The 26164-nt window shown below is 57.3% G+C and overlaps 2 protein-coding genes across 11 annotated transcripts in view, besides 6 other annotated features; one reads left to right on the forward strand and one right to left on the reverse strand.

The window, feature by feature from the left end:
• SLC5A10 (solute carrier family 5 member 10) overlaps positions 1–11652 on the forward strand; it is a 71890-nt gene extending 60238 nt beyond the window's left edge. For 2 of the 6 annotated variants that reach the window (NM_001042450.4, NM_001270648.3), the window contains 6 exons: positions 2497–2604; positions 4136–4286; positions 8510–8678; positions 8800–9015; positions 9242–9299; positions 9412–11652. In NM_001042450.4, coding sequence (NP_001035915.1) covers positions 2497–2604; positions 4136–4286; positions 8510–8678; positions 8800–9015; positions 9242–9299; positions 9412–9518 — 809 coding nt within the window. In that variant the 3' untranslated portion in view covers positions 9519–11652. Of the gene's footprint in view, positions 1–2448; positions 2605–4135; positions 4287–6370; positions 6482–8509; positions 8679–8799; positions 9016–9241; positions 9300–9411 lie in introns of all 6 variants that reach the window. The other 4 variants (NM_001282417.1, XM_017024191.3, NM_152351.6 and 1 more) reach the window with 4 other exon arrangements.
• Positions 467–636: an enhancer, noted in NCBI's record as "experimental_47104 CRE fragment used in MPRA reporter constructs". NCBI's record gives its function as "activates a minimal promoter by MPRAs in K562 erythroleukemia cells, with activity observed for both the introgressed and non-introgressed 17:18914778 variant alleles {active_cell/tissue: K562}" and the evidence as "EXISTENCE:reporter gene assay evidence [ECO:0000049][PMID:34662402]".
• Positions 3171–4160: an enhancer, noted in NCBI's record as "H3K4me1 hESC enhancer chr17:18917397-18918386 (GRCh37/hg19 assembly coordinates)". NCBI's record gives its function as "activates a minimal SCP1, AML or CMV promoter by ChIP-STARR-seq in primed H9 embryonic stem cells {active_cell/tissue: H9 hESC(primed)}" and the evidence as "EXISTENCE:reporter gene assay evidence [ECO:0000049][PMID:30033119]".
• Positions 9743–26164, reverse strand: part of GRAP (GRB2 related adaptor protein) — a 30718-nt gene continuing 14296 nt past the window's right edge. For 2 of the 5 annotated variants that reach the window (XM_047435154.1, NM_006613.4), the window contains 3 exons: positions 25045–25167; positions 13302–13470; positions 9743–11231 (listed from right to left, as the gene is read on the reverse strand). In XM_047435154.1, the coding sequence (XP_047291110.1) occupies positions 11046–11231; positions 13302–13470; positions 25045–25167 (478 nt within the window). In that variant the 3' untranslated portion in view covers positions 9743–11045. The other 3 variants (XM_047435155.1, NM_001330148.2, XM_047435156.1) reach the window with 2 other exon arrangements.
• Positions 10568–10717: an enhancer, noted in NCBI's record as "active region_11848". NCBI's record gives its function as "activates an Ori minimal core promoter by ATAC-STARR-seq in GM12878 lymphoblastoid cells {active_cell/tissue: GM12878}" and the evidence as "EXISTENCE:reporter gene assay evidence [ECO:0000049][PMID:35858748]".
• Positions 19860–20657: an enhancer, noted in NCBI's record as "H3K27ac-H3K4me1 hESC enhancer chr17:18934086-18934883 (GRCh37/hg19 assembly coordinates)". NCBI's record gives its function as "activates a minimal SCP1, AML or CMV promoter by ChIP-STARR-seq in primed H9 embryonic stem cells {active_cell/tissue: H9 hESC(primed)}" and the evidence as "EXISTENCE:reporter gene assay evidence [ECO:0000049][PMID:30033119]".
• Positions 21492–22242: an enhancer, noted in NCBI's record as "H3K4me1 hESC enhancer chr17:18935718-18936468 (GRCh37/hg19 assembly coordinates)". NCBI's record gives its function as "activates a minimal SCP1, AML or CMV promoter by ChIP-STARR-seq in naive H9 embryonic stem cells {active_cell/tissue: H9 hESC(naive)}" and the evidence as "EXISTENCE:reporter gene assay evidence [ECO:0000049][PMID:30033119]".
• Positions 22243–22992: an enhancer, noted in NCBI's record as "H3K4me1 hESC enhancer chr17:18936469-18937218 (GRCh37/hg19 assembly coordinates)". NCBI's record gives its function as "activates a minimal SCP1, AML or CMV promoter by ChIP-STARR-seq in naive H9 embryonic stem cells {active_cell/tissue: H9 hESC(naive)}" and the evidence as "EXISTENCE:reporter gene assay evidence [ECO:0000049][PMID:30033119]".

Raw genomic sequence — 26164 nt, forward strand, 5'->3', positions numbered from 1 at the left:
TCAAACAGTGCCTGAACTCCTCATGGCTCTTTCTGGGATCCCTTCTCCCACTCCTCCTCTCCTCCTGTGCCTTTCCTCCCTCCTCCCCACCATGCAGTCACTTATTCATTCATTCAATCAGTGTTCCCAGAAAGTCTCTTCTGGGCCCGGCCCTGGACCAGGCGATACCTGGGACTTGGAGATGATTCAAACCCAGTGTCTGCCCTTGGGGAGCCTCCGTCCTGGTGGGGAAGGTAGACTATGTAAACAAACAACTGTGATTCAATCTTTGGCCTTAGGAGCCCTTGGGAGGAAGCTGCTACTGCCTTGGGGGTTGGGAGAGTCAGGGAAGGCCTCAGAGCACAAGCCCTTTGCAATGGGCCTTGAAGCAGGAGGTAAACAAGGGTGTGGGTGGGTGTTAGACGGACAGTGGTGCCCTGGGAGGAGGGACTACGTCTGCAAAGGCATGGAGGCGTCCAAGTGCTGGGTGTGTGTGAGAAAATACAAGCAGGTCAGGGTGGCTCGTGCACGGTGCTGGGATGGGAGGTTCTGGGACCAACTGTCAAGGGCCTCGAATGCCATAGAAAGGATACTTTTTTCCCCCAGGATGCCATGGGCTGAGAGGTGGGGGTAGGGAGGAGGGTCCTGAGAAATAAGTAATAGGCTGAGAGCTGTGACTCCAAAGTGTGGAGAGGATGGACAGGAGGCTGGGGAGGAGCATGGGATTGGGCAGGGTGGGCCCCAGACGGGAGGGGGAAGAAGCTATGAGCCTGGGGGGCTAATGGGAGGAGCCAGGGAGGTGCCTGGGGGATGACAGGAACCTGGCGTCCGGGAAGCCTGGAGCTCAAACAGGCTGGGCTGGAGACTGGGACATGTTCAAGGGTGCCAGGGTAGGGGACACTGCCAGGGTAGGGGGGACTGCCAGGGTAGGGGACACTGCCCCAGGCCAGCTGGCCTGGGGGAAGGGGTGTGAGACCCGCCCTTCCCCATGGGCTGGGCATCTAAGAAGGGACGTATCAGAAGGGGGCTTTGGAGGGGGCAGTCTACAGAGGGAGCACCAAGTCACAGAAGTGTCAATGCCAGCCGCCCCTGCTGCTGCTGTGTTGCAACTCTGCCTGCCCCTAACCAGCCACTGCAGTGCTGTCAGTCAGCTTGTTTCTGAACTCCCCCGTAATCATCATCTTCTGGTTAGCTCTGCACTCTGGGCCCTCCTGAAAACCCCAGAAGCAGGGGCCAAAGCTTTCTAGAAAGTCTTTTATGGGAGGAAAAAGAGAATGTGGGTCAACTCTCTTCATCCCTACGTATCACTAGGCCAAAGTCAGCCCCACGACTGCTAACACCAGCAAATCTCACTGAGCAGAGCAGTGAGGAGAGCCCCACACCTCAGGGCTATGGAGGTAGGCCGGGGTTCTGCCCCCACACAGGGCAGGAGGCCGAGGGATGCCTGGATTTAGGGTTCAGTCGGGATCTGGCCTGAGCCTGGGAAATTCGTGAGTCCTTTCATTCAACAGATGAGCCGTGTGTACCACCCCAGCCATGGGGGAGATAGCACGAGGCAAACCCCGTCCTCTCAGGACTCACCTGCCACAGGGAAGTGGCAAGAACCAAATAAACATGTCCAAGTCCTCCCAGGGATGACAAGGGATGAGGGAAAGCGATGTGGGGCAAGGGGACAGACGGAGAATGGGGTGGGAAGGACAGACCGGAATTCGGGAAGGAGGCAGTCCTCAGGCGAGGCCTGGGGCAGGCCTCAGGTGGGAGCGAGGAGGGACTTGTGGGGAGGGGCCAAGGGTCTGGATCACCCAGGGTCTTGTAGACTGTTGAGAGGCTGAGTGGCTGGAGAGTCCTGGGCATCAGCTCAGCTCTCTGCAGCAGGAAATAGCCTGGCGTAAAGCTTGGACCCCAGGGTTGGAGACAGGGGTGTGGATGGGCTCTGACCCCACGTCCTAAGCCAGGAAGTTGGAGCAGGCAGGCCTCGCCAGCCCCTGAGCTTTCACCACAGCCCTGCTGCATGAGCTGCAGCTGTGTGACAGCACACTCAAGCCGGCTGCCCATGGACAGACGCGACTTGTTGACTTGTCGCTGAGTGAACACAAAGCCCAGGGAACAGGTTGAGGGCCTGGGGCAGGGCCCATCCTGCAGGCCTCTCTCTTCTCTAGCCTCCATTTCCCCCTTTGGGGAGAATGGCTGGGGACGAGGGGGGCAAGGGAGGCTCAGGCCCCAGGTAGACTCTAATGGCGGACCTCACACAGCAGAGCCAACGGCAGGTGAGCCCCCTGGCCAAGAAGTAGGATCAGGAAGAAGAGTTATGATGGAGAACAGCAGGGAAAAGGATTTTCAGAGGCCATGCCCTCCCTGTGGCTCAGATTGTGAAACTGAGGCCCAAGGCCAAATGGTAACAGGTCAGAGGCATTGATGGAGCAGGTCTGGGCCAGGCTCCTGCCCCCAGCCCTATCTTGCCCACCCCAGGTGCTCATGTCTATGAGGAGAGACACCAAGTGTCCGTCTCTCGAACAGATGATGTGGGCTGCGTGGTGCCGTCCGAGTGCCTGCGGGCCTGCGGGGCCGAGGTCGGCTGCTCCAACATCGCCTACCCCAAGCTGGTCATGGAACTGATGCCCATCGGTGAGGCTGTGTGGGTGGGGGTCTGGGTGGAGGGCGTGGGGTTGGACTTGGGGCCCAATGAGTATGGGGACTGTGGAGGCTGCCACTCACTGGCCAAGAAATTTGGGGCATGTCACTTCCCTGCTTGGAGCCTGGGTGTCCTCATTTGTAAATTGGAGATAATGGCATCTACCCACCCCTCAGCGTTGTTGCTGGGATTAAACATAATGACACAGGGAAAATGCTGGGTGCAGGCTTGGCCATGCTGTAGTTCCCACCTTGGGCCTTCGCTTTTCTCTTCTGTTCTGGGCAAGGGGACTCGCTAAGCCCTCCAGGGCTGACACCGAGCCATTGTTGGGCCACAGTCCCTCTCTAGGTCTTGAGTTCCCTCTCTAAGAAATGGATGGAATAAGCTCCAAGTTCATCCATCTCCATGAGCAAGACAAGGGAGTGGGTGGAGAAATGTTTTGGGGAAAACTGTGATTTGACTCACTTTCCTTTGGGCTCCATCCCAACCAGCTTCTGACAAGTGAACAGAGAGCCCAGAGACACCTGGAAGTCACACAGCCAATCAGACACAGAACCGAGGCCAGACAACCCAGCCAGGCAATAAATGGCTGTGCCTTCCGGGCAGGGGGGCCTATGTCAGGCTTATCCTAGGACAGACGGGCAAGAGTTTGTAGAGGTAAAGGAGGTGCTTAAAATTGCAGGAGTTCTTGTAGACAGACTTGAACTCATCCCCAGAGAGGGGAGGCGACCAGCCTGAAGCCACACAGCACAGAGTGGGCAGTTGAGCATCCTTCCACCTTCCTTAGGGCTCCTCACCCTCAGGCCCTCTTGAGCCCACAACTCCCAGAAGGCCTTTCACAGCAATGCTACCCGCACCTCCTAGGGGAGCCCTCACTCCCACTCTGGAAAACCACAGAGCCAAGGAGAGAGGGGATCCACTATGCCTGCTGGGTCCTGCCATGCACAGGAAGTGGCGGAAAATTCCAGAGACTGGGGCACTGCATGCTGGGGTGAGGTGTGCATCTTGCCCAGGGTGTGGCCTTCAAGCAGAGGCCCCGCCCAAGCCTTCCTCACCAACCCCACCGCACCCCAAAGTCCTGCCGCTGGCCTGCTGTGAATCCCTGGGCAATCTCTTCACTTCTCTGAGCTTCCATTTCCTCATCTGTCAAGCGGGTTAATCATGCTTTCCTCGGACGAAGGCATGGGTGTGAAAGTGCTTTGTCAACGCCAGGCTCTGCAGAAAGGACAGGCCTGATCGCAGCCTCAGCATTATGAGTAATTATGGTCGGGCCTAGGGTTGCCAGCAAGCCTAGGGCTCAAGCAGCCAGCTCCGAAGTCCCCACGGTTTGTCCTTGGCCTCCCCAGTCTCCTCATTCTGGGTCTTGCTCACCTCAAACCTCCTCAGCTTCTCTCCCTCCCCGCCCTCTGCCTTGGAGGAGCATGCAAATGGCGGGCGGGCCTCAGGCATTAGAGCCCAGGCGGGAGGGGTTCCCGGGGCTGTCTCAAGGCCGGACAGGGTCACACATCCCCCGTCCCACCCCAGGTCTGCGGGGGCTGATGATCGCAGTGATGCTGGCGGCGCTCATGTCGTCGCTGACCTCCATCTTCAACAGCAGCAGCACCCTCTTCACTATGGACATCTGGAGGCGGCTGCGTCCCCGCTCCGGCGAGCGGGAGCTCCTGCTGGTGGGACGGTACGGGGGTGGGGGCCAGTACGGGGGTGGGGGAACACTACAAGGGTGGGCGCCCGCACTGACTTTGAGGGATGAGCCGGAGTTTGCCACTTAGAGAAAGGTGGATGCCAGGAAGGAGGGAAGAGAAGGGCCAGTGTACCCCATCCATACCACCTCTCACATTGCTCTCCTGTCCACCTCTGTGTGATCACAGCCCTCATCTGGGATGCATCTCCACCCTTGAGCTGGATTCCTTCTGCAGGGGCCAGCCCTCCCTCCCCAACCATGCCACAGATCTCTCTATCTCCCCGAAAACCTGGGCCCCCATTCCTCCTGATGGTTCCCAGCTGCGCCACAGAGGGCCCCCGGGCCAGCACTCAGGACTGGCCACACTTGGGCTGCCACGTCCCTCAGCCTCCATGGCCCTGGCCCTACTGAGCTCCAGCTTGTTTCCTCCCAGCCCAGCTTGTCCCCTCCTTTTTCACCTCGATGACTCATGCTGATCTTTCTGGACTCTGCCTGTGTCCCCTCCTCCGTGCAGTCCTCCCTGAGACCCTCAACCAAGGAATGAGCCTCTCTCCCCTTCATACCCCAGGGACGCTTGCCAGATTCTTCCCACAGCACATGTGGCCATTACAGGCCAAGAGACCTCCCCGACACCCTTCTCCAAATATCTGGGCGCTTCATGAGGACCGGGGCTGTGTCTGGAGAACAGGTGGTGTTTGGTTACATGAATAAGTTCTTTAGTGGCGATTTCTCAGATTTTGGTGTATCCATCACCCGAGTGGTATACACTGTACCCAATGTGTAGTCTTTTATCCCTCACACCCTCCCAGCGTTTCCCCTGAGTCCTCAAAGTCCATTGTATCATTCTTTTTTTTTTTTTTGAGACAGTCTCGTTTTGTCACCCAGGCTGGAGTGCAGTGGTATGATCTTGGCTCCCTGCGACCTCCACCTCCCGGGTTCAAGAGATTCTCGTGTCTCAGCCTCTTGAGTAGCTGGGATTGCAGGAGCGCACCACCACGCCTGGCTACTTTTTGTATTTTTAGTAGAGACAGGGTCTCACCATGTTGGCCAGGCTGGTCTCGAACTCCTGACCTCAGGTTATTCATCCACCTCAGCGGGCTGGGATTACAGGTATGAGCCAGTGTGCCCAGCCCATCCTATCACTCTTATGCCTTTACATCCTCAGAGGTTAGCTCCCATGTGCACGTGTCTATTTGCGCCCTCCCTGGCCCTCCAGTCCCACCCTCTTGTTGTCCTCTGAGCAGTGTGGCTCACACTCTGCTGCTCGGGGGTCCAGCCTTCTGGCACAACAGAGCACCCCCTGGCCAGGAGCCCAGGGCACCCATCCTGGGGGTGGGGTCTCCTCCAGAGCTCCAGGCAGCTGTCCCAGGGATGCAAAATAGTCAGGCTTCTGTTGGAAGGGCCCTGTTGGGACACGCCAGAGGCGGGTGCGAGTGAGCTCATCCACGGGCTCACAGGATTCTCCAAAACAAGGAGCCTCCCACCTCTCACTGGGCAGGACACTTCCATGTCCCTGTGTCCTGGGCACTTGGCCCCTTGACCACTTCTCCCCCTCTGGCTCCCCTGCCTCTCCTCAGAAGCTGTGTGGCCTGGGGAAGACCCTGCCCCTCTCTGACCATGTGTCTCCTCTGAGGCCAGACCTTGCTCTAAGCCCCTCCATGCTCCAGCATCCTGGGCCCTGGGAACTGGATGCCCTCCTGCCACCCAGTGTGTGACACTGGTAGCCCCTGTACCTGCCCAGTGGCCCTCATGTCCCCTGCCCACTACTTCCTGGCCTCCTCACCCAGACTCCCACCTGCAACCAAAAGTCTTGACCTGGCCTCCTGCTGCGCCAGCTCACCCAGCTGCCCGTGCCCTTGACCCTCCTTCCCACCTCTTCTGCCAAGTCAACCCCCGCCCCTAGCCCTGCAAGCCTGGCAGTCGGCCTCCCTGAGGAGCAAGGCACAAGGCTGCGTGGTGCAGGGCAGGTTGCTCACCCTCTCTGGGCCCCAGTTCTCTCAGCTGCCAGCTGGATAGAGCAGAAAGGGCCCCGTGCCAGGTGTCAGGCTGGCCAGCTCAACTTCCCGTCCCTCTTACAGCACTGGGATACCCTCAACACCCCCAGCCCCTCAAAGCCGTCTCAGCTTCCTCCTGCCCGAAACACCACCATTGGAGCGGTATCTCCTAGGCCTCGTGGTCATGGATCTCTGGTAGGGTGAATGGCCTGACAACAGTCTCTGTCAGGGAGAGGCGAGGCTTACAGAGAGAAGACCAACAGCCCAGAGGCCTGGAGAGGAGGCCATCGCAGGGCCGGGTGCAGTACCATGCCGGTGACCCTGATGGCTCTGTCCAGCTGAGCAGAGGCTGGAGGAGCCGTCACAGGCTGGGGGAGAGCGATGACCCGCCCCCACTCCCGTATGCCTGCCCCAAGCCCCCACACCTCAGTCCACTGTTCCGCCACTGCCCCCCTGCCCCACTCTCCCCTGTCTGTGTTCCCGGCTGTTCAGTCCGTAAATGGGGCCCACAGCCTCCTGGAAACCCTGTGCAGGACTCGGAGAGATCTCAGACACCCCTCCTTGAGATGTTCCACAGTAACTGTGGCTGCAGCCCAGGGAGATGCTGGAGGGCACTATCCACCCTGATGGTGGCATGGGAGGGAGTGGCATTCCAGGCAGAAGGAGCAGCCTCTGGGTTTGGGGGTCCTCTGGCAGCCAGGTAAGAAGGCTGGGTAAGAAAGCGAGGGCCTGGCTGGAGTGGCCCCAGCCCTGGCACAGAGATGCAGAGTCTGGTGTTGGGCGGGAGAGCTGTGTGCAGAGGGCGGGGTGGGCAGGCGTTAATGGAGGCCCGCCTGGGCCTTTGATGAGGGCAGCGCCCGCCTGCCTGCCTGGCTAGGGGTTAATTAGCCTTAATCAAGGTGGCACCTCCTTCCTCCACCCTCTCCCTCAGGCCTAGAAGGGAAGAAAGGGAGGGAGGAAGGCGGACAGGCGCTGAGAGGACCCACCCTAGCTGAACACATAGCCTCTGTCACCCCTGCCACCACAGCCAGGGTTCCAGCGGGTCACCCACCACCCACCTTGGGGGTGAGGAATGCCAACTGACCCAGGACACAGGGGTGAGGTGCTCAGCCAGGGAGGAGCGGATGGATGCCATGCCCCAGCTTCATCCCCTTAGCTGGGTCCCATGCCCCTCAAGGCTCGGGGAGGGGGTGCCTCCTCCTGAAAGCCCTCCTAGATTGATGTTTCCTCTGAGCTGCTCCAGCCCAGTCCGAGTGTAGGTAAGAGGCTCATCTGTTTTCTTTGCTGGACTCTGAGTGCTGGGCAGGCACCAGGTCCCACTCATCGCCGAGTTGGGGATCCTAGGGTAGTGTCCTACGCAGGTGAGCACCTCACCAGTGGTTTGTTGGATGAACAAGTGTAGCATGTGCCTGTTGTAGAGGGGCTCTTGGCCTAAGGGAGAGGCAGGCAGGAGCTGACACGCAGGGGACAGGAGGGGACGGGCTCATGCTGGCCCAGCAGGGCTCCGGCTTCACAGCTGGGGAGTATGGGCTCTAACCCCAACCCACACCTCTGGCTCCAAACTTTGCATCCTTAGTAAGCAGGTTGCCCTGTGAAGGATGTGCAGCACAGGGCTGTCGGGGTGGGGATGTGCCAGCCAGAGGTCCCAGCTCCCACAAATGCCGGCCAGTGTGAAAAATCCTAGTGTCTTCAAATAACCACCAGGAAGTCAGTCTGGCCCAGATCGGGGGGCAGTGGTCATTCATGCACTCACCAAATGCTTAGTAAGCACCTACTATATGCTGGGAGACACAGCAATGAACTAAAGAGATGAGGCTCCTGCTCTCCTGGTGCTTCCATTGGGAGGGGAAGACAGGCAGTAAACAAGTAGACACCCAGGTAAATGTGCATGTAGTGACTGGGACAGGTGCTTTGAAGGAGAGACAAGAGGGAGCTCCATGGCGGAGCTCCAAGGGCTGGCTCCGCAGAGACCCCAGGGCAGGGAAGGAGCAGACAGCACTTAGAGTCAGGAGCTGCACCTGCAGGATCCAGGGAGCCACCAAAGGGTTTGGAGCAGGGCAGGACTGGCCAGGTCACTGGTGGTGTGGACCAGAGTCCAGGGAGGAGGCTGGAGCTGGGGTAGCAGGGGAAAGATTAGAGAGCAAGTCTTAGTGACCAGGGGAGGTGGGAGAGAGCTGAAGAGCCTCCCACGACGACCGCTGCCTGCCTTCCACTCGCCTGCAGGCTGGTCATAGTGGCACTCATCGGCGTGAGTGTGGCCTGGATCCCCGTCCTGCAGGACTCCAACAGCGGGCAACTCTTCATCTACATGCAGTCAGTGACCAGCTCCCTGGCCCCACCAGTGACTGCAGTCTTTGTCCTGGGCGTCTTCTGGCGACGTGCCAACGAGCAGGTGGGCGTCGGCGGTCTGCTCTCCCTGGGGACGTGCCACAATTTGCTCTTCCCTGCTGCCTGTGGGGGGAGCCTTGGTCCTCCTCCCGTAGCCCCACATGCCCTGCCTCCCTCCTCCCCAGGGGGCCTTCTGGGGCCTGATAGCAGGGCTGGTGGTGGGGGCCACGAGGCTGGTCCTGGAATTCCTGAACCCAGCCCCACCGTGCGGAGAGCCAGACACGCGGCCAGCCGTCCTGGGGAGCATCCACTACCTGCACTTCGCTGTCGCCCTCTTTGCACTCAGTGGTGCTGTTGTGGTGGCTGGAAGCCTGCTGACCCCACCCCCACAGAGTGTCCAGGTGAGCCAGCCCTGACCCCTGACCCTGACCCCTAACAATTTCTTACTCTGGTCCCATTCTCATCCCCGACCCACTCTGACTCAGAATTTTCTAGCCCTGGACTACCTAGCCCCGTCCCTTTTTGAACTCAGCTGCCATCTTGCCATCCCCAACCTTTGATCCTGTCTGGGTCACCCCCACCCTGCCATCCCCCACCCCCAACCCTATCCTCACTCATTTCTTACAGATTGAGAACCTTACCTGGTGGACCCTGGCTCAGGATGTGCCCTTGGGAACTAAAGCAGGTAAGTGGATGACCCTAGGCACTCCTCCACCTTGACCCTGGCCTGGAGGCAAGGGCACCAGGTGTAACCTTGTGTCCTTCATCTGTCCCTCTCCTTCTGCAACCCCCTCCAGGTGATGGCCAAACACCCCAGAAACACGCCTTCTGGGCCCGTGTCTGTGGCTTCAATGCCATCCTCCTCATGTGTGTCAACATATTCTTTTATGCCTACTTCGCCTGACACTGCCATCCTGGACAGAAAGGCAGGAGCTCTGAGTCCTCAGGTCCACCCATTTCCCTCATGGGGATCCCGAGGCCCCAAGAGGGGCAGATTCCCCTCACAGCTGCACAGCAGCTCGGTGCCCAAGAACTGGCCAAGCCAGCAAAGCGGGAGCCCTGAAAAATTAGGGGGGAAATGGGAGAAAATAATGTGACATTTCAAAAACAGCACCAAAGCAGTCAGCATTGGAAGGAAAATTAGATTTCTGACGGACATCCTGATGTTGGTTTTACTGTTTTCGTTTTGAATACACAGGCTGGGTCAGGAGCAGTGAGATTTGCCAGCACTCAGGGTTCTAAGGGTCTTGGGCCAGCTCTGGATGGAGGAAGAGCCCCACATGCCCAGAGCAAGGCCCCCCATTAAGGGACTGCAGCCACCTCCAAGGGCTCCTCCCTCCACCCACCGGCTCCCAAATGCCAGAGGGAGCCTCTTCGCCCTCCCTCCCTGCCCACCATCCCTCAACCATCAGCCTGGCGTTCAAAGCCTTTCCAAGTCCCACCTCACTTTTCCCTCTCCCAAAGGTGCCCAGGCTCTGGGCAGGCCCTGCTCATATCCCTGATCATGGCACATTCTCTGGAGGACCCTCCTGTTCTCGGGTAGGGGCCGTGCCCCACCTAGGTAGCCGTCCCATGTGGGATCCTGTAGGATCTCTAAAACCTAGCTCTGGCCCCAACTTTCTGTCTGCCCTGGAGGTTTCTCAGCCTCCTGAGAGCTCTGCTGGGCCCCGGTCTGGGCAGAACCTGGGCCTAAACAAACAAGAGCCAGGGCAGCCAGGGTCTCTGCGTGGCTGGGCCCAGGGCTTGCCCTCAGAGCTCACCTGTCCAACAGAAGAGGAGTGTGCCTCCACCTTCCCTACTGCCCGCCCCTTTTTCAGGGTCTTAGGGCCTCTAGCCCTGTGGTGGGGTGCTGGGTGCCCCAGGTGGAGCTGAAGTCATGGGGCTGTTGAGGAGTTGGTGTCCACCTGGAGTCTGTCCAGTGAGTTTAGGTCAACAGGTGTGCAGTCTGTCCTTCGAGGCTGAGCCACCTCCCAACAGCCTGAACAACTCCAGGGGCCTTTTGAGGGAGGGGCAGGCAGGCCCAGTGGGTGGTCAGCCCAAGGTGAACCCACCCACCATGGCCAGGGTTCCTTAGGTTGAGCCTCCAGTGGGTGAAACCTGGGAGTCCTCAACCTTCCTGGCAGATGGGGCCATTGACAAGAGGAGGTGGGCGGGGCCTCCACAGACTCCGCCCTGTGGTGTCACACAGCTGGCAGCCAATGGAAAGCAACCAGCCAGGAAGCCCCGGAGCTACCCTTGCTGGGTACCCTTGCTGGGGGACCTGGGCCATCCCAGTTTGTGCAGAGCGGCCGGAGGCAGTTAGGAGCCCACGTTCAGTCCAAGGCCGTCCACTGAGCCCCGTGTGACTCTGACAGAGCTGGGGGTGTCCATGTCCTCTCTGGACCTCAGTTCCTGTAAAAAGGCCCGTTGGCCAGATCGGCCGCCGGGCTGCTCACAGGTGCACGGGCTGCACGTAACTCCGTGGGAAGAAGCCAACGCGCCCGCAGGACCGGCCCCGCCACCAGTGGGGGTCTGGGCGCTCCAGGACCTCAATGATGTCGCCACGGCGGAAGCTGAGCTGCGAGGGGTCCTGGGCTGAGAAGTCAAACTGGGCCTGGGCAAAGCAGGCCCCAGGTGACTGCAAGAAGAGGAGGTGGTTAGTAGGGTGCCTTCAGAAGCCCTGCAACCCACCCTCCCTCAGAGGCACCCAAGAGAAGTGATTTGCCACAGGTGAGGAGGGGTCTCGGGCAGCACCGGAGTTGAACTTTAAGTCCAGATCAATGGTAGTGCCACCACTGGGCCTCCTGCTGCCCACACCCCTGCCTGTCTGCTGTGCAGATGCTGCATCTACATAGAACACGGCTTTCCCAGCCGCCCAGCTGGGACAATAGGGCTGGTGGGTCAGGGGACCTGAGTCCTGGTCCTTAGGGTGGGATTTTGGTTAGGTCCCTGCTTCTCTTGGGATCTTATTTACCCGACTCTGCAGCAGCCATGGTAGCTTTTGACTCCAGGCCACAAAGCCATGAGAATGGGCCTTATAAACTGTAAAGTGACGTGCAGCTAAGAGTCGTGTTTATTGCTCTTGCCCTTGGTCAGCCGTTGAGGGAGAGAATTGTCACTTTGAGCTCTCAGGCCTGGGCTCCACTCCTATCTATGCCCCATGTGTGATGTTGGGTAGGTCCCTGCCCTTTGTGGAACTCAGTTTCCCCACCTGTGAATGGCAGCAGGACAGGAGCTCTCTGCAGCACATCTGCCTGGCACCGTGACTATTGCACCCAGCACCCTGGCCCTGCCTGCCCACCAAGATCTCAGCTCTGAATCTGCAGAATCTCATCCAGGATGGGTGATAGGATCAGCAGAGAAGCTGTAATTAGCAGCTCTCTGCCCAGGAAGGAGGAGGCGTCATAGGTCCCAGGGGACTGAGGCAGCTCTGGAGTCGAGCCACAGGGTGGGTGACCCCACGGCCCGGGCCAGAGCGAGGTGTTGGGTGTAGGGGAGCTCTCAGTTGCCCCTGCCCTAGCTCCATCCTGGCTTCCTCACACTCTTCCAAGGCAGAGCTGGCCCAGGTGGTGAACAGGGAGGAGGATGGAGATCTGGCAGACAGGAGCCCAGCTGGAGAGAAAAGTGCCCTGAGGCTGGGAGCTCACAGTGACCTGGGCACTCAGGGTCAGGCAGGGAAGGCCAACAGAGGAGAAACTAGTGGGGGTCTCTCAAGGCACTGTTTGACTCCCCTGGCATATCAGACCCCAGGGCTCATCCTACTGAACAGAGGGAACACTGAGGGGATGAACTGGCCTCTGATCACATGGAAAGGTGGTGGGGAGGTGCTAGGAACAAGATTTGGCTGGAGCTTCTCTTCAGCGGTTATCAGCCTCTCCCCAGGCCTTGGCCACACTCCCCATCTCCTCTGCAGAGCCCAAGCTCAAGTGTCCCAGGGTCTTGACCTCCAGCCCCAGGCCTTGCCAGCATCCCCGCTCCTGAAGAAAACAGCCTGTTGGGGCTAATAACCCCAGTGGCTATTGTTGGCATCCCAATCAGCTTCAGAGCTGGCCCTTGGGGCTCCTTGATGAAAGGGCTGGCTGGCAAATTGCTGTTATTGCAAGGTCAAGGGGTGGATGACCCCGACCCCCCACCCCCCACCCCCCACCCCGCGGCTTGCCAGGATCTCGCCCACCAGCACTCATGCTGCCCCACACCCAAGGTCAACTCTTCCGCGAGCAGAAACCAGGACTGAGCCTACCAGGTAAGTGTCCTTGGATGAGTCACTGCACTCTCTGAGCCTCGGTTTCCTCATCTGTATAATGGGCATGATGAGGCTCCCAGAGTACAGAGACCAGTTCAGTGCATGGTACCCAGTATGCTCAGTGGGGGTCTGTACCTTCCTTCACTCAATGAACATTTATTGAGCACCTACTGTGTGCCACATGCTATTCTAGGAGCTGAGAACAAGCTAGACAGTTTGTCCCCATGGGATTTTCCTTCTGTCCTTTGCTTTTCTTTCCCTCTTCTCCTTTCCCACCCTTGCAAGTCTCACCATAGCCGCCACCAGGATATAACTTCGAAGCCTGGGCTGGACGCCTCTTGCAATACCAGGCTGCTGGGGAAGTGAGACCAGGCCCGTGCTTGGCCTCAGTGTCAGCATCTCCCCTGCTGCAGATGGCAGGAGGTGCAGAGAGGCTCCCACAGGCCAGCCCCCACCCGCCCCTACCTTGAGCAAGGGCTCCTCGTCGCGCAGGAAGATCTGCCGCTTCTTGGCGATGGTGGTGGTGCGGTAGAAGTCGACCAGCTCGTTGAGGGAGTTGAACTTCTCCTCCCACAGGAAGTACTTCCCCGAGGCCTCACGCAGCACCTTGAAGTGCTGCACCTGGTCTCCATAGCTAGGGGAAAGGACCCGGGGCCACCTCAGGTGGTGGCCGTCCCAGCCTGGCATGGTCCCAGGGGCTCCCGTCTCACTACCACCTGGAACCAGCCTGTCTCACGGTGGGACCTGGAGTCAGATAAGGTGCAAGTGGGAGAGGCCCCACTGACCCAGCTCCACATGGGGTCTGGGGAGTCCCATCTGGCAGTGGAATATGGGGTTAATTTAAGGGTGTGGGCTCTGAACCAGGCCACTTTCTCACTGTGTGACCTCATGCAAGTCTCTCAACTTCTCTGAACCTCAGTTTTCTCATAATGATAACATCTCCGTTATGGATAAGTGCACAGTGACTGGCATATTGGCAACGTGAAATGGGTACCTCTGAGTGTGTCGTGATCAGAGAGCATCTCCTTCACATCTCTTTGTTGTTCCCCTCAGCTTGGACCTACTCCCTGCTCCCCTGCTCCTCCCATGCCCCAGAGTCCCTTGGGGAGCAAGTCCTAGACTCATCCTGACTCAGACCAAAGCCTACTGCTATGAGAGGAGCTCAGACCTGTTGAATGTCTCACGTCCTCCCCCTCCCATGAACCTTCCGTGGCTTCTCCCTTGGCCTCAGGGTAAACTCTTAACACTTCAGACTCAAGATCTGGCTCCACTTACATGTCCAGCTTCATTTACTTTATATCCTCTCCGATGAAGCAAGCAGGCCCCTTTCTCTCATTTCCCGTCTGTGCCCTGCCTTCCAGCCAGCCCACTACCGCCAAATCGCCCCGAGTACCTTCTAGCCCAGCGGAGGAGAGAGCCTGCTCTTTCTTTTTTCTTTTCTTTTCTTTTTTTTTTTTTTTGAGGCGGAGTCTCGCTCTGTCACCCAGGCTAGAGTGCAATGGCGCTATCTCGGCTCACTGCAAGCTCCGCCTCCCAGGTTCATGCCATTCTCCTGCCTCAGCCTCCTGAGTAGCTGGGATTACAGGTGCCCGCCACCACGCCCGGCTAATTTTTTGGTATTTTTAGTAGAGACGGGGTTTCACCATCTTGGCCAGGATGGTCTCAAACTCCTGACCTTGTGATCCACCCTCCTCGGCCTCCCAAAGTGCTGGGATTATAGGCGTGAGCCACTGCGCCCAGCCACGGATTTTTCTCTCTCATTTCCCGTCTGTGCCCAGCCTTCCAGCCAGCCCACTATCGCCAAATCGCCCCAAGTACCTTCTAGCCCAGCGGAGGAGAGAGCCTGCTCTTTCTTTTTTCTTTTCTTTTTTTTTTTTTTTTGAGGCGTAGTCTCGCTCTGTCACCCAGGCTAGAGTGCAATGGCGCTATCTCGGCTCACTGCAAGCTCCGCCTCCCAGGTTCACGCCATTCTCCTGCCTCAGCCTCCCGAGTAGCTGGGACTACAGGCGCCCACCACCGCGCCCGGCTAATTTTTTTTGTATTTTTAGTAGAGACGGGGTTTCACCGTGTTAGCCAGGATGGTCTCGAACTCCTGACCTCGTGATCCACCCGCCTCAGCCTCCCAAAGTGCTGGGATTACAGGCGTGAGCCACCGCACCCAGCCGAGCCTGCTCTTTCAAACTGGCCAGAGGCAGAGCCTGTCCTGGCTGGGACTGGGCAGAGGAACTAACTGGAACCTCTCACACTCGGCGTGTCCACCCAGGACAGGCCTTGTGGGGCTGGGACTGGAGGCGGTGCAGCTGTGGGTCAAGATCATGGCAGACATGACTGCAGCGCTGCCCCGCTGTGCTTCGGGGGTGGCTGGCCTGCCTCACGGCCCAGGAGGAGCAAATTGGGCCCTATGTTTCAGTTTCTCCACCAGTCATCCCTGGGGCAGCTTGCTGCTTTATTGATGTTTTAAGATGAAAGATTTCAGATAAAGATGTGTTCAAGGCCGGGCGCGGTGGCTCATGCCTGTAATTCCAGCACTTTGGGAGGCCGAGGCGGGCGGATCAAGAGGTCAGGAGATCGAGACCATCCTGGCTAAACCCCATCTCTACTAAAAAACAAAAAAAAATTAGCCAGACGTGGTGGCGGGTGCCTGTAGTCCCAGCTACTCCAGAGGCTGAGGCGGGAGAATGGCATGAACCCAGGAGGTGGAGGTTGCAGTGAGCCAAAATCGCGCCACTGCACTCCAGCCTGGGCGACAGAGCAAGACTCTGTCTCTAAAAAAAAAAAAAAGATGTGTTCAAGGTTCCCACCCTCTGATCTGTATGAGGCATAGGGCAAAACAGGATTCCCCCTACTCCATTCCAGTCAAGGGGTCCAAACCACTTCTAAACACACCTCCAGGCATTTGCACACAGAGTGTCCTCCAGCTAGAGGGAATTTTTCTTGAAATCCTCATGCCCCAGTGGGGAAACTGAGGCCCCGAGTGCAGCCGCGACCTGCCCAGAGCCACAACAGCAAGAAAGGTCAGAGCTGGGGCCACATTTGAGCTCATACATGTAAAACGTTGCCTAATGCCCTCCTGATTGGTTATTATCACATAACAATAGCAATAATAATTATTCCAATTATGCTATTACTATTGTTCCAGAGCTCATCATTCCAAGTCCATTTCTACTTTGCCATGTTGCTACCTGGGCTGTGCCCCCCAGGAGGCCCTCCCTCCCTGCCTCATCCTCTCTGCCTGGCCAAACCTTAGCTACCCTTCCCAGCTCTATAGCCAGCCTGCCTGGACTTAGACCCCAGCCCACCTCTCTGGGCCTCTGCGTCCTGGCCTGCCAAATGTGGGCGATAGTGCACTCCTTGCAAGGGAGCTGAGAGGCCTGGGACCCTGGGGGCTGTGTGGGTGCTGCCAACAGAGCCACCCTAGGCCCACCTGGCTGGGCTAGGGGCTGTGGGGAGAACACAGAACAGTCCCAGCTCCCAACCAGAAAGAAGACAGTTTAGGACCCCGAGGGAGGGCACCTGTTCAGGTGGCTGGCGGAGCTAATAGCTGGGAAAGCCTGGGGCCCTGTGAGCCGGGTGAGGCAGGGTAGGGGCACAGGATGGCCACTGGGAGGTAGATAGCCCCTCAGCCTCCTGAGCCACAGGCTAGGGATCTTTTTGTTCACATTTGGGCTAAATGAGATCCAACCACCAGTCCAAAGCACTTGATGCCTTGATGGGACACATGCGCGCGCGCGCGCGCACACACACACACACACACACACACACACACACACACACACCCCTACCTCTCCTGGGTTGTAAATTGAAATCTGGTTAAACAATTTGGTCGCAATACATTTGCAAGCTTGGGTTCACCCACAGCCTGAGTTCCTTCAGGTCTATGGTTCTCCTGAACAAGAGGGTGGTGTCTGTCACCCCAGCTGCCCAGATCTGCTGCTCCATCTGTCCTATCCCTGCCTGTGGTTGAGTTTCTCCACCAGTCATCCCTGGGGTGGCTTCCTTCCTTATTGATGTTTTAAGATGAAAGATTTAAGATAAAGATGTGTTCAAGTTTCCCACCCTCTGGTCTGTATGAGGCGTAGGGCAAAATGGGATTCCCCCTACTCCATTACAGTCAAGGGGTCCAAACCACTTCTCCCTTTTTTTTTTTTTTGAGACGGAGTCTCGCCCTGTCACCCAGGCTGGAGTGCAATGGTGCGATCTCGGTTCACTGCAGCCTCCGCCTCCTGGGTTCAAGCGATTATCTCATCTAAGCCTTCCGAGTAGCTGGGATTACAGGCACCTGCCACAACGCCTAGCTAATTTTTGTATTTTTAGTAGCTGGGATTACAGGCACCTGCCACAACGCCTAGCTAATTTTTGTATTTTTAGTAGAGACAGGGTTTCACCATGTTGGCCTGGCTGGTCTCAAACTCCTGACCTTGGGTGATCTGCCCACCTCGGCCTCCCAAAGTGCTGGGATTACAGGTGTGAGCAACGGCGCCCAGCCCCAAACCACTTCTAAATACACCTCCAGGCATTTGCACACAGTATTTCCTCCAACTGGAAGGAATTTTTCTTGAACTCCTACTCATGCCTCAAGGCCCAGGTAAAATGGCGCATCCTGTGAGAGCTGCATCAGACCCCATCACGCAGTCAGGGCCTTCTTGGATCCCTCAGCCCCTCTCATAGCCTTCTTGTAACTTGCTACTCAAAATGACTTGCATATGAGACACTAAAAAGGCAGGGAGGCAGGAGTGGGCCCTGAAGGTCCAGTCTAGCTGGGACTCAGCAAACAGAGCATCACTTTCCAGGTCTTAGGTCCTCATTGCGATGCTTTGTTCTTGAAACCCACTTCTGTTGGTTCTGAACTGGGATTGCAGCCCACCAGGTGTTCTGACCCTGAACCCAGGCTCCGGTGGCCAACCCATTGCTCTAAGATGCATCCAGCCCTCAGGGTCACACAGCCAGAAAGAGAGCTAGTTCATGTGCTCGTGACGCGGAGGTGGGTGTGCAGGCAGATGTGTGTCTCCTGCCCTGTCTGGCCTTCCGAAGCCTCCCAGAGGCTTCCGAGAGGCAGCCTCTGAGCCCCATGACTCCCTAGTGCCACGTGCTAACCAGCCCAGGGTTTACTGAACTTTGGCCGTGGTGCCTGGGGAGGAGCACTGCTTCAAGCAGTGGAGTGACGGTGACCCACAGCTGGGCAGGCGAGAAGCCTGGAGACAGGGATCCCAGTGGCTCCACCTCTGGGGCACCGGGTACCCAGGCAGAAGGCCCTGACTCCCTGTTGGCCCCGAGGAGGGGCCTGCATACAGGTGGCCCCACTCCTCTGGGTGAGGGGACAGAAAGGGTGTGGTGGGTTTGAAAATGATTTCAAACCCAAACGACCACAACTTTGAATTTTATGGTATTTGAAGTTCATCTTTAGATACTTGGAAAGTTATCTAGAGCAGATAGAACGTTATCTGGAGCAGTTCTTTGATCATATAGTAGAGTCAGGGAGTGGAGAACAGGAGATAAGGGAAAGGGAGCCAGGGACCCAGGGATTCTAGGGCTTTCCAACCTGGGAACTGGAGAATTCTCAAATCTGGGAAACGTGCATGTGCCAGCCCCTACCTAGTCTGTGTGTGGCACATACTAGGTGCTCAGTAAATGGCAAATCTTGCCCCTTCTCCCACCTGGTCCAAATGTCCTGCTTTACAGCAGAGGACAGTGAGGCTTGGGTGCAGCCCCTCCTGCTGAGCCAGCCCCTGCCTGAGGCCAAGCGGTGCTGTCTCTGTCATCTCACAGCCCAGCATCCCAGCTGTCACTCCCTCTCCCAGCCTGGCCCTTTTCCCTAGCCTGGCTGGGCTCTTGCTCATGGCCCTCACCAGAAATAATGCCTTTTCCCTTTTCTCTGTCTAGTCTTGACCTTAGCCATCCTTCAAGGCCCAGGTGGAGCCTCAAAGCATTTGAGAATCCCCCAGACTGGGGCTACCCTCTGGGGCCTCTCCAGACCTCATCTCCACTCCCCTTCCCAAGGCCTGTGGGAACTTCAGGGCTTGCAGGAGGAACTGAATCTGAGTCCAGATGGCCCCGGAACCGGGAGGGCTGGATCCAGTGCAGCCGGCTCTGCTGCATGAGCCTCCCAGAGCCAGAGGAGGGAGGGGGCACTGGGATTGTGGGCCTGAGTTGGTGAGAGGAGAGGCTGCTGGAGCCATTCACTTCAGTGGGCAGTGCCGGGGGTGTGAGAGCGTCTCCATTGTGTCTGAGTGTGCATTCCTGGGATGCTTGTGTGTGTGTGTCTGTGTGTGTCTCCCACTGTGTGGAGTGACTGTTATGTGTGAGTCTCTCACTGAGCAATCATGAGTATCTTTGTCTCTCTGTGTGACCCCTACATCCACCTACCCAGGGGAACAAGGGGCTAGGCTGACCCCTGGGCTGTCAGAAAAGCCCCAAGGACCAAGTCAGGCCTAATGCTGGCAGCAGCCAGTCCTGCCCAGCGAGTTTTTCTGGCCTGGTGGCGGCAGCAGCAGCAGCAGCAGCAGCAGCAGCAGCAGCAAAGGTAACAGTGTCAGCCCAGAGAGGAAAAACAAGGCTGGGGTGGGGGCAGGAGCCCTAGGACACCCCCTCCACCACCCCAACCAGGGCTTGTGGACGTGTGGACCCACCTGGGTGCTAACTGCCCGCTGGGCGATCTCCATCAGGCATGGCCCCTCTCTGGCCTCAGTTTGCCCATCTGTGAAAAGGAGGGGTGGAACAACCTGTTCGGCAGCAGACAGGAACCAGAGTCAAGCTGAGCTTGGGAGGGGCAGGACACTGGTGCAGACAGACTCCTGCTGGGTCTTTGGAGCTCAGGGAGGGTGGGTGGAGGACAGACCAGGTCTGTCAGGGCACAGAGGTCGGTGGGCACCAGCTCTAAGTTCCTCGCTGTGTGACCTTGGGGAAGTTGCTGCACCTCTCCAGGCTTCAGTTTCCTTACCTGCAAGCTGGGCTTCTGGGGATCAGGCAGGTCTCCTCACTTCCTCCCTGTCCTTGCCTGCAGCCAGTCCCTTCCTCCTAAAATTGCACCCCCCCTCCACCACTTCCCTGCTTCATTTTCTCCAAAGCCTTGGTCATTGTGTAAGATTTTATACAATTTCCTAATCACTTATTGTCTGTCACCCAGTAGCACATGGGCACTTGAGGGACAGAGAGCTTTGCCCTATTTTGTTGCTGGCTGAATCCCCAGGCCCTGGGACAGGGCTGGCACACAGCAGGGGTTCAGTGACCAGATGGGCAGGGCAAACACATGTGCATTGACTCCAGGGTACCTCTGGCTAGAAAGGAGGCAAATATGTCACTTGGAGACAAACTGTCATTTATGGCAGAAGAGTCCACAGTAGCTTGGATAGGAGTGTGGGGCAAAAGTTAGGCAGCCCAGACATTGCACGCCAGCCTTGGCCCCTGGCCCGCTGCCCGCCAGCTCAGACATGCTCCCTGGAGGAGGAGGGGGACAGCCCTTTGTAAACTCATAAAGGGCAGCTAGCTATGGCCACAGTTGCTCTAGGAGGCAGCATGAGGCCCATAAACCCCACCTCTGACAGCTTTACAGGGCTTGGTGTGAGTATGCCAGAGATGCCATGCATAGTGCCATCAGAGTTCCCAAGTACCAACCAGCAAGGGTGGAAGAGCTCTTACACACAAATCTGCCAGGCTGTCATTTTCCGAGGTGGCCATCAGGTCACCCGGCTTCCCAGCATCTGGGTTCCCTGACTCCCTGTGCTGCTGCCTCTTCTCTAAGAGTGTTGGATTCATGGGCCGGGGGTGGGGGGCAGCCTTCCAGGCCAGGAGGGGCTCCCTAATTCCTCCCCAGCTTGGTGTGCAGTCCTTGGAGCCTTAATATAATTATGATAACTGGCACTTATCATGTGCCAGTCATCATAAAAAACACGTTACATAGCTGTCCATTTTATAAATGAGGAAACTGAGGCTCAGAGGGGTAACTTGCCCAGGATTATACAGCGAGCAGCTAGCAGGTGTCAGAGCTGACTGTTGCTCAAAATACCATGCTCTTAGCCACATGCCCCATTTGAGTCTCAGCTTCCAACTCTGACCCCTGCTTGGTGGTTGTCCAAGGACCACTGAGAGGCCCCATGACAGATGATGGACAGAATGGGAGCAGGACCCAGGAGCCTGGGCCCAGGCAGGAAGAAGCCAAGGGTCAAGGGCTCCACCTGCTGGTGCTGTGTACAACCCACAGCCAGCCAAGCCCAGGAAGCTCCTGACAGTTTTGACCTGGGCACACTTGGCCAGTATGCCTTGGACAAAAGGTTCGGGGGCACAGGCCAGGATTTCTCTGAGGGTCGCTTCCAGATCCCTTCCCAGGAAACACCGGTGCTGGCTCGCCTGCTCAAGAACTGCTCCCTAAGACTGTCCATCTTCCCTCCTGGTCAGAAAACACGTTGTTATCCAAACACACCCCTCGCTTCCCCACCTCTAGATCTCTACTCATGCTGTTTCCTGTGCCTGGCATATCATCTACTCTCCTTGTGCGCCAAAATCCTACTCATGCTTTAGAGCCCAACTCAGATGTCACTTCCTCCCTGGTGCCTTCACTATGTGGAATGTATCCACTGTCATTGAATTTCATTTATTCATTTGCTCATCATAGAGACCCCTGGGCCAGGCTGTGACCATTTCCCCTTCACATGCCTCTGGTTTGTCTCCTGTTTCAGTCCTGCCTTGTGGTTTTCACACAGCTGATGCTCAATAAATGCGTGCTGAGCAAACTCACAAGGCTGGGGTGTTCAGGTCTGATCATGTGCGTGTGCGCAGGTGGCTGCACTTACAGAGAGACGCCTGAAGAGGGCAGCACACTGGGGCGCTAACTTGGAGAGTGAGGCCGCGTGATTTGTTAGAGGAGGAAGCCGGAGGGCGGAGGGAGGGCCAGCCCCTCCCCCTCAACTCGGGCTCCAGACGTAGTTTGAGTCCCCTGTGCCCCCACTTTGCTGGGTGACCTTGGGCTTTGGGGTTGGTTCCAGGAGCCACTCAGCCAGGCCAGCCCGCCTGGCGGACGCCATTCCCAGGAGATGACCAGGCCCTGGACAGCCGACACTTGGAAGACTGCCACGTCCTGCCTCCGCAGGAGCCGCAGCTCCCCGGGGCTGCAGGGAAGTGGTGGCTGGGCTGGGGGGGTGGGGGGTGAGCCCGCGGGGACTCCAGGCTCCAGGTGCCCACACCATCCCGGGGGTGGGCAGTCAGGGCCAAGAACGCACAGTAAACCCCCAGTACACACAAGCGCACACACGCACATGCTGACAGCACTCGCATTTTTAAGATGGGGAAATAGAGGCTCAGAGGGGGCATGCGCGTTCCTGCCCCTCAGGATCACCAGCCTGCCCCCAGGAGAAAAGGGAAGGGAACAAGGCTGATGGCTGGTTCCACCAACTGGGCGCCCGGGCTCAGGGTGAATGTGGGGGGCTGTGACCCCTGAGACGTTGGATCTGCCTCCCTGGTATGGTTTGGATGTTTGTCCTCTCCGAATCTCTCACTGAAACGTGACTCCCAGTGTTAGAAGTGGGGCCTGGTGGGGGGTGTTTGGGTCATGGGACAGACCCTCATCAGTGGCTCTTTGCAGTAATGACTGAGGTCTGGTTGTTGAAAAGAGCCTGGCACCTCCCTCCCCGACTTGCCCCCGTCTCGCCATGTGATGCGCCGGATCCCCTTCCCCGTTTACCATGCGTAAAAGCTTCCTGAGGCCTCACCAGAGGCACATGCCGGTGCCATGCTTCCTACACAGCCTGTAGAACACCAAGTCAAATAAACGCCTTTTCTTTATAAATTACCCAGCCTCACGTGTTCCTTTATCACAACACTAAATGGACGAACACACCCCTAGAGCCGCCTTCCTGACCATAGGCTCCTATTCCTTGCGGGTGCCTCCAGGCTCAGGGGAGCTCGCCACCCTGCAGGGCTAGCAGCAGACGTGCTGATCCCACACAGTGAACAGCTTGAGCTTGTTTCAAAACAGGCCGGCTGAACACATGGGAGTCACAGGGACCCGGCAGAGCCTGGAAGGCATCAGGTGGGTGGGAATGCTTTTCCCCCAGCAGGAGCCCTCATGGGCTCCTGGCCCAGCCTGTCTGAGTCTGCCTTTGTCTGCTTCTTTGGGACCCCCTGACTCCAAGCCCCATCAAGCTTGCATCTCCACACCCAGCCCCAGTGTTAGCTATCGACCCAGGCCTGTATTTCTTTGTCCTTTATTTTTATTTTTATTTTTATTTTTTGAGACAGAGTCTTACTCCATCACCCAGGCTGGAGTGCAGTGGCACAATCTCGGCTCACTGCAGCCTCTGCCTCCCGGGTTCAAATGATTCTCATGTCTCAACCTCCCGAGTAGCTGAGATTACAGGCGTGCGCCACCATGCCTGGCTGATTTTTGTATTTTTAGTAGAGACGGGGTTTCAGCATGTTGGCCAGGCTGGTCTCAAACTCCTGACCTCAAGTGATCCACCCGCCTTGGCCTCCCGAACTGCTGGGATTACAGGCGTGAGCCACCACACCTGGCCTTCATCCTTTAGGAGATCATGAGAGGCCACTCTGCCCTCCTCTGGGGCCACCCCTTCCTTCATCCCTTCCTCCCGGCTGGACTCTTTACCACCCCAGTGCTAGCTCCGCTGGTGGCAGTAAGAGCTGGCATGGTAAGCGCCTCCTCCATTCCGGGCTCTGTGCCCACAGCAGCCCTGAGAGCTGGTACTGCTGGTGGTCCCCCCGCACACCTCCATGCCTGGGCCCAACCATTTCTCTGTGTCCCCTCATCAGCCCCTACCCGTACAGTCCCAGAGGCCATCATCTCCCTCCTGACTCCCCACGGGCCTCCCTGCCACCACGCTCTCCCCCAACAGTTCTTTCTCCTCACAGCACTCAGAGTCATCTGCTAAAAATGGAGTCCAATTACATCTCTCCCCTGCTCAAGACCCTCCATGGCTCCCTATTGCTCTGAGAGAAAACCCGACCTCCTTTCAGGCCCTCTGTGATCACTGGATGTGGGTGGAACTCCAGCCCCTGCCCTTCGCTCACTCTGCTCCAGCCACGTCACCTCCTCCGGGCTCCTACATGCCCCAATCACATTCCCACCTCAGGGTCTTTGCAAATGCTATTCCCTCTGCCTAGAAGCCTCTCTTCCCAGGTCCTCCTCATTCCTGGGCACCTGGGAAGCCTCCACCTCCTAGTTCAGATCTTTGCTGCAAGGCCACCTCCTCAGAGAGCCCTTTCCTGACCACCTTGGTTCATTCTGTATTAACATGTTTTCTTGTTCACTCACAAAGACTGAAACCCACGACAGCAGCAACTTTGTTTTTTTTCCCATTTGGTTTCCCCAGCCCCTAGAGCATCCTGGCACATGGCACCTAATCAATAAATATTCCTTGAATTAATGCATCTAGATTCTACCAAGGCCTAAGAGTAGGAAGGACAGAGACTAACTAGGAGCCTGACCCTGTCTACCCCCACCCCCATTCCTGCTGCTACTTTCCAGCCTGGATTCCTCAATCACTCCAGGGTGGCCCTTTAGGATTGGATTCTGTGCTGCCCAGAGGCTGCCACACCACAGCTGAGGGCCGCCCTAATACAATGCCAGATGTTCCCCAGCACGGCCACCCTGCCTCCATGCCAGGGACTATTCTAATTGCTTTAAATATACCAACTTGTTTCTTCCGTGCAATAGCCTATTTTACATGTGAAGAAACAGGCACAGAGAAGGTAAGTGACTTGCCCAAGCTCACACAGCCAGGAAGTGGCAGAACTAGCATTTGAGCCCAGGCAGCCTGGCCTCAGGGTGCATCTTCCCAACTATATCACATAGAGTGGGACCCTGTGCGGAGCACATCCTGGACACCCGCCCTGGGCGTTTCAGCACTCTCCTGCCCTCAATCTCTTGCCACATCACCACCCTGGACATCGCCCTCTCCTGATGAAGAACCTATGATGGCTCCTATACTCGTAGAAGCCTGGACCTTCAGCCTGGCATTGAGGCCTTGCACAGCTGGCCTGATCCTGCTTTCCCAACACACCCCACTGCTCTGGGCTGCACCCTGGGGTGCCCAGACCACCGCCTGTGTCCGGAAGGCCTCTGCCCGGACTGCTCCCTCTGCAGGGATGCCATTCCTCCACCCTCACTCCGTGAGCCCGTCCCGGGCCCCAAGGCTCAGCTCAAATGCTGCCCAACCCCGCCCACCCTCCTCTGCACACACCCCCAAGGGCCAGAGCTCACTTCACAGACACAGAGAACTCCCCTGGGGAGCTCTCACTCTCCCGGATCAGGAAGGCTCCCAGATGGTTCCGCTTCATCAGAATCTCTTCGGCCAGCTGCCGGGAAATCCTGCCCGAGTACCACCTGCGGAGAGAGGGAGCCGGTGAAGGCAGTGTGAGACCAGGCTCTCAGCCAGCCTCCCACCCCGTGCCAGGTGTTCAAGGTCTGAGACAAGGGAGATGTGATTGCACCCATTTTACAGATGGGAAAACTGAGGCACAGAGAGGTGAAGCAATACACCCACAATCACACAGCAGAGGCAGGCAGGAGCTGGAACACAATCCCAGCATTTTAGCTCCTGAGGCCAGCCTCTCCTACCATGCCAGCAAACACATACCCTTATGGAAACAGAAAAGTCACACTCCAGTGAGCCACACCCCAGCCAACCTCAGTCTAACTTTCCCTTTGAGATGGTAGATTCTTTAAAGTCAAAAAATAAATCAGGCTCGGTGGTGCGTGACCGTAGTTCAGCTACTCGGGAGGCTGAGATGGGAGGATCACTTGAGGCCAAGACTTTGAGACCAGCCTGGGGAATAGAGAACCTCCCACCCCCATTCCTTAAAAAAATACTTCTGGCCGGGTGCGGTGGCTCCCGCCTGTAATCCCAGCACTTTAGGAGGCCGAGGCGGGAGGATCACGAGGTCAGAAGATCAAGACCATCCTGGCTAACACGGTGAAACCCCATCTCTACTAAAAATACAAAAAAATTAGCCGAGCGTGGCGGCATGCACCTGTAGTCCCAGCTGCTGGGGAGGCTGAGGCAGGAGAATGGCATGAACCCAGGAGGCGGTGCTTGCAGTGAGCCGAGATCGCACCACTGTCCTCCAGCCTGGGTGACAGAGCAAGACTCCGTCTCAAAAACAAACAAACAAACACTTTTTTTAAAAAATAGAGTCTTGTTCTGCCGTCCAGGTTGGAGTGCGGTGGCATGATCTCAGCTCACTGCAACCTCCGCCTCCTGGGTTCAAGTGATTCTCCTGTCTCAGCCTCCCGAGTAGCTGGGACTACAGGTGTGTGCCACCGCCCCGGCTAATATACATATATACATATTTTTTTGTATTTTTAGTAGAGACAGGGTTTC

This window comes from Homo sapiens, chromosome 17 (assembly GCF_000001405.40).
Source record: "Homo sapiens chromosome 17, GRCh38.p14 Primary Assembly".
NCBI lineage: Eukaryota > Metazoa > Chordata > Mammalia > Primates > Hominidae > Homo > Homo sapiens.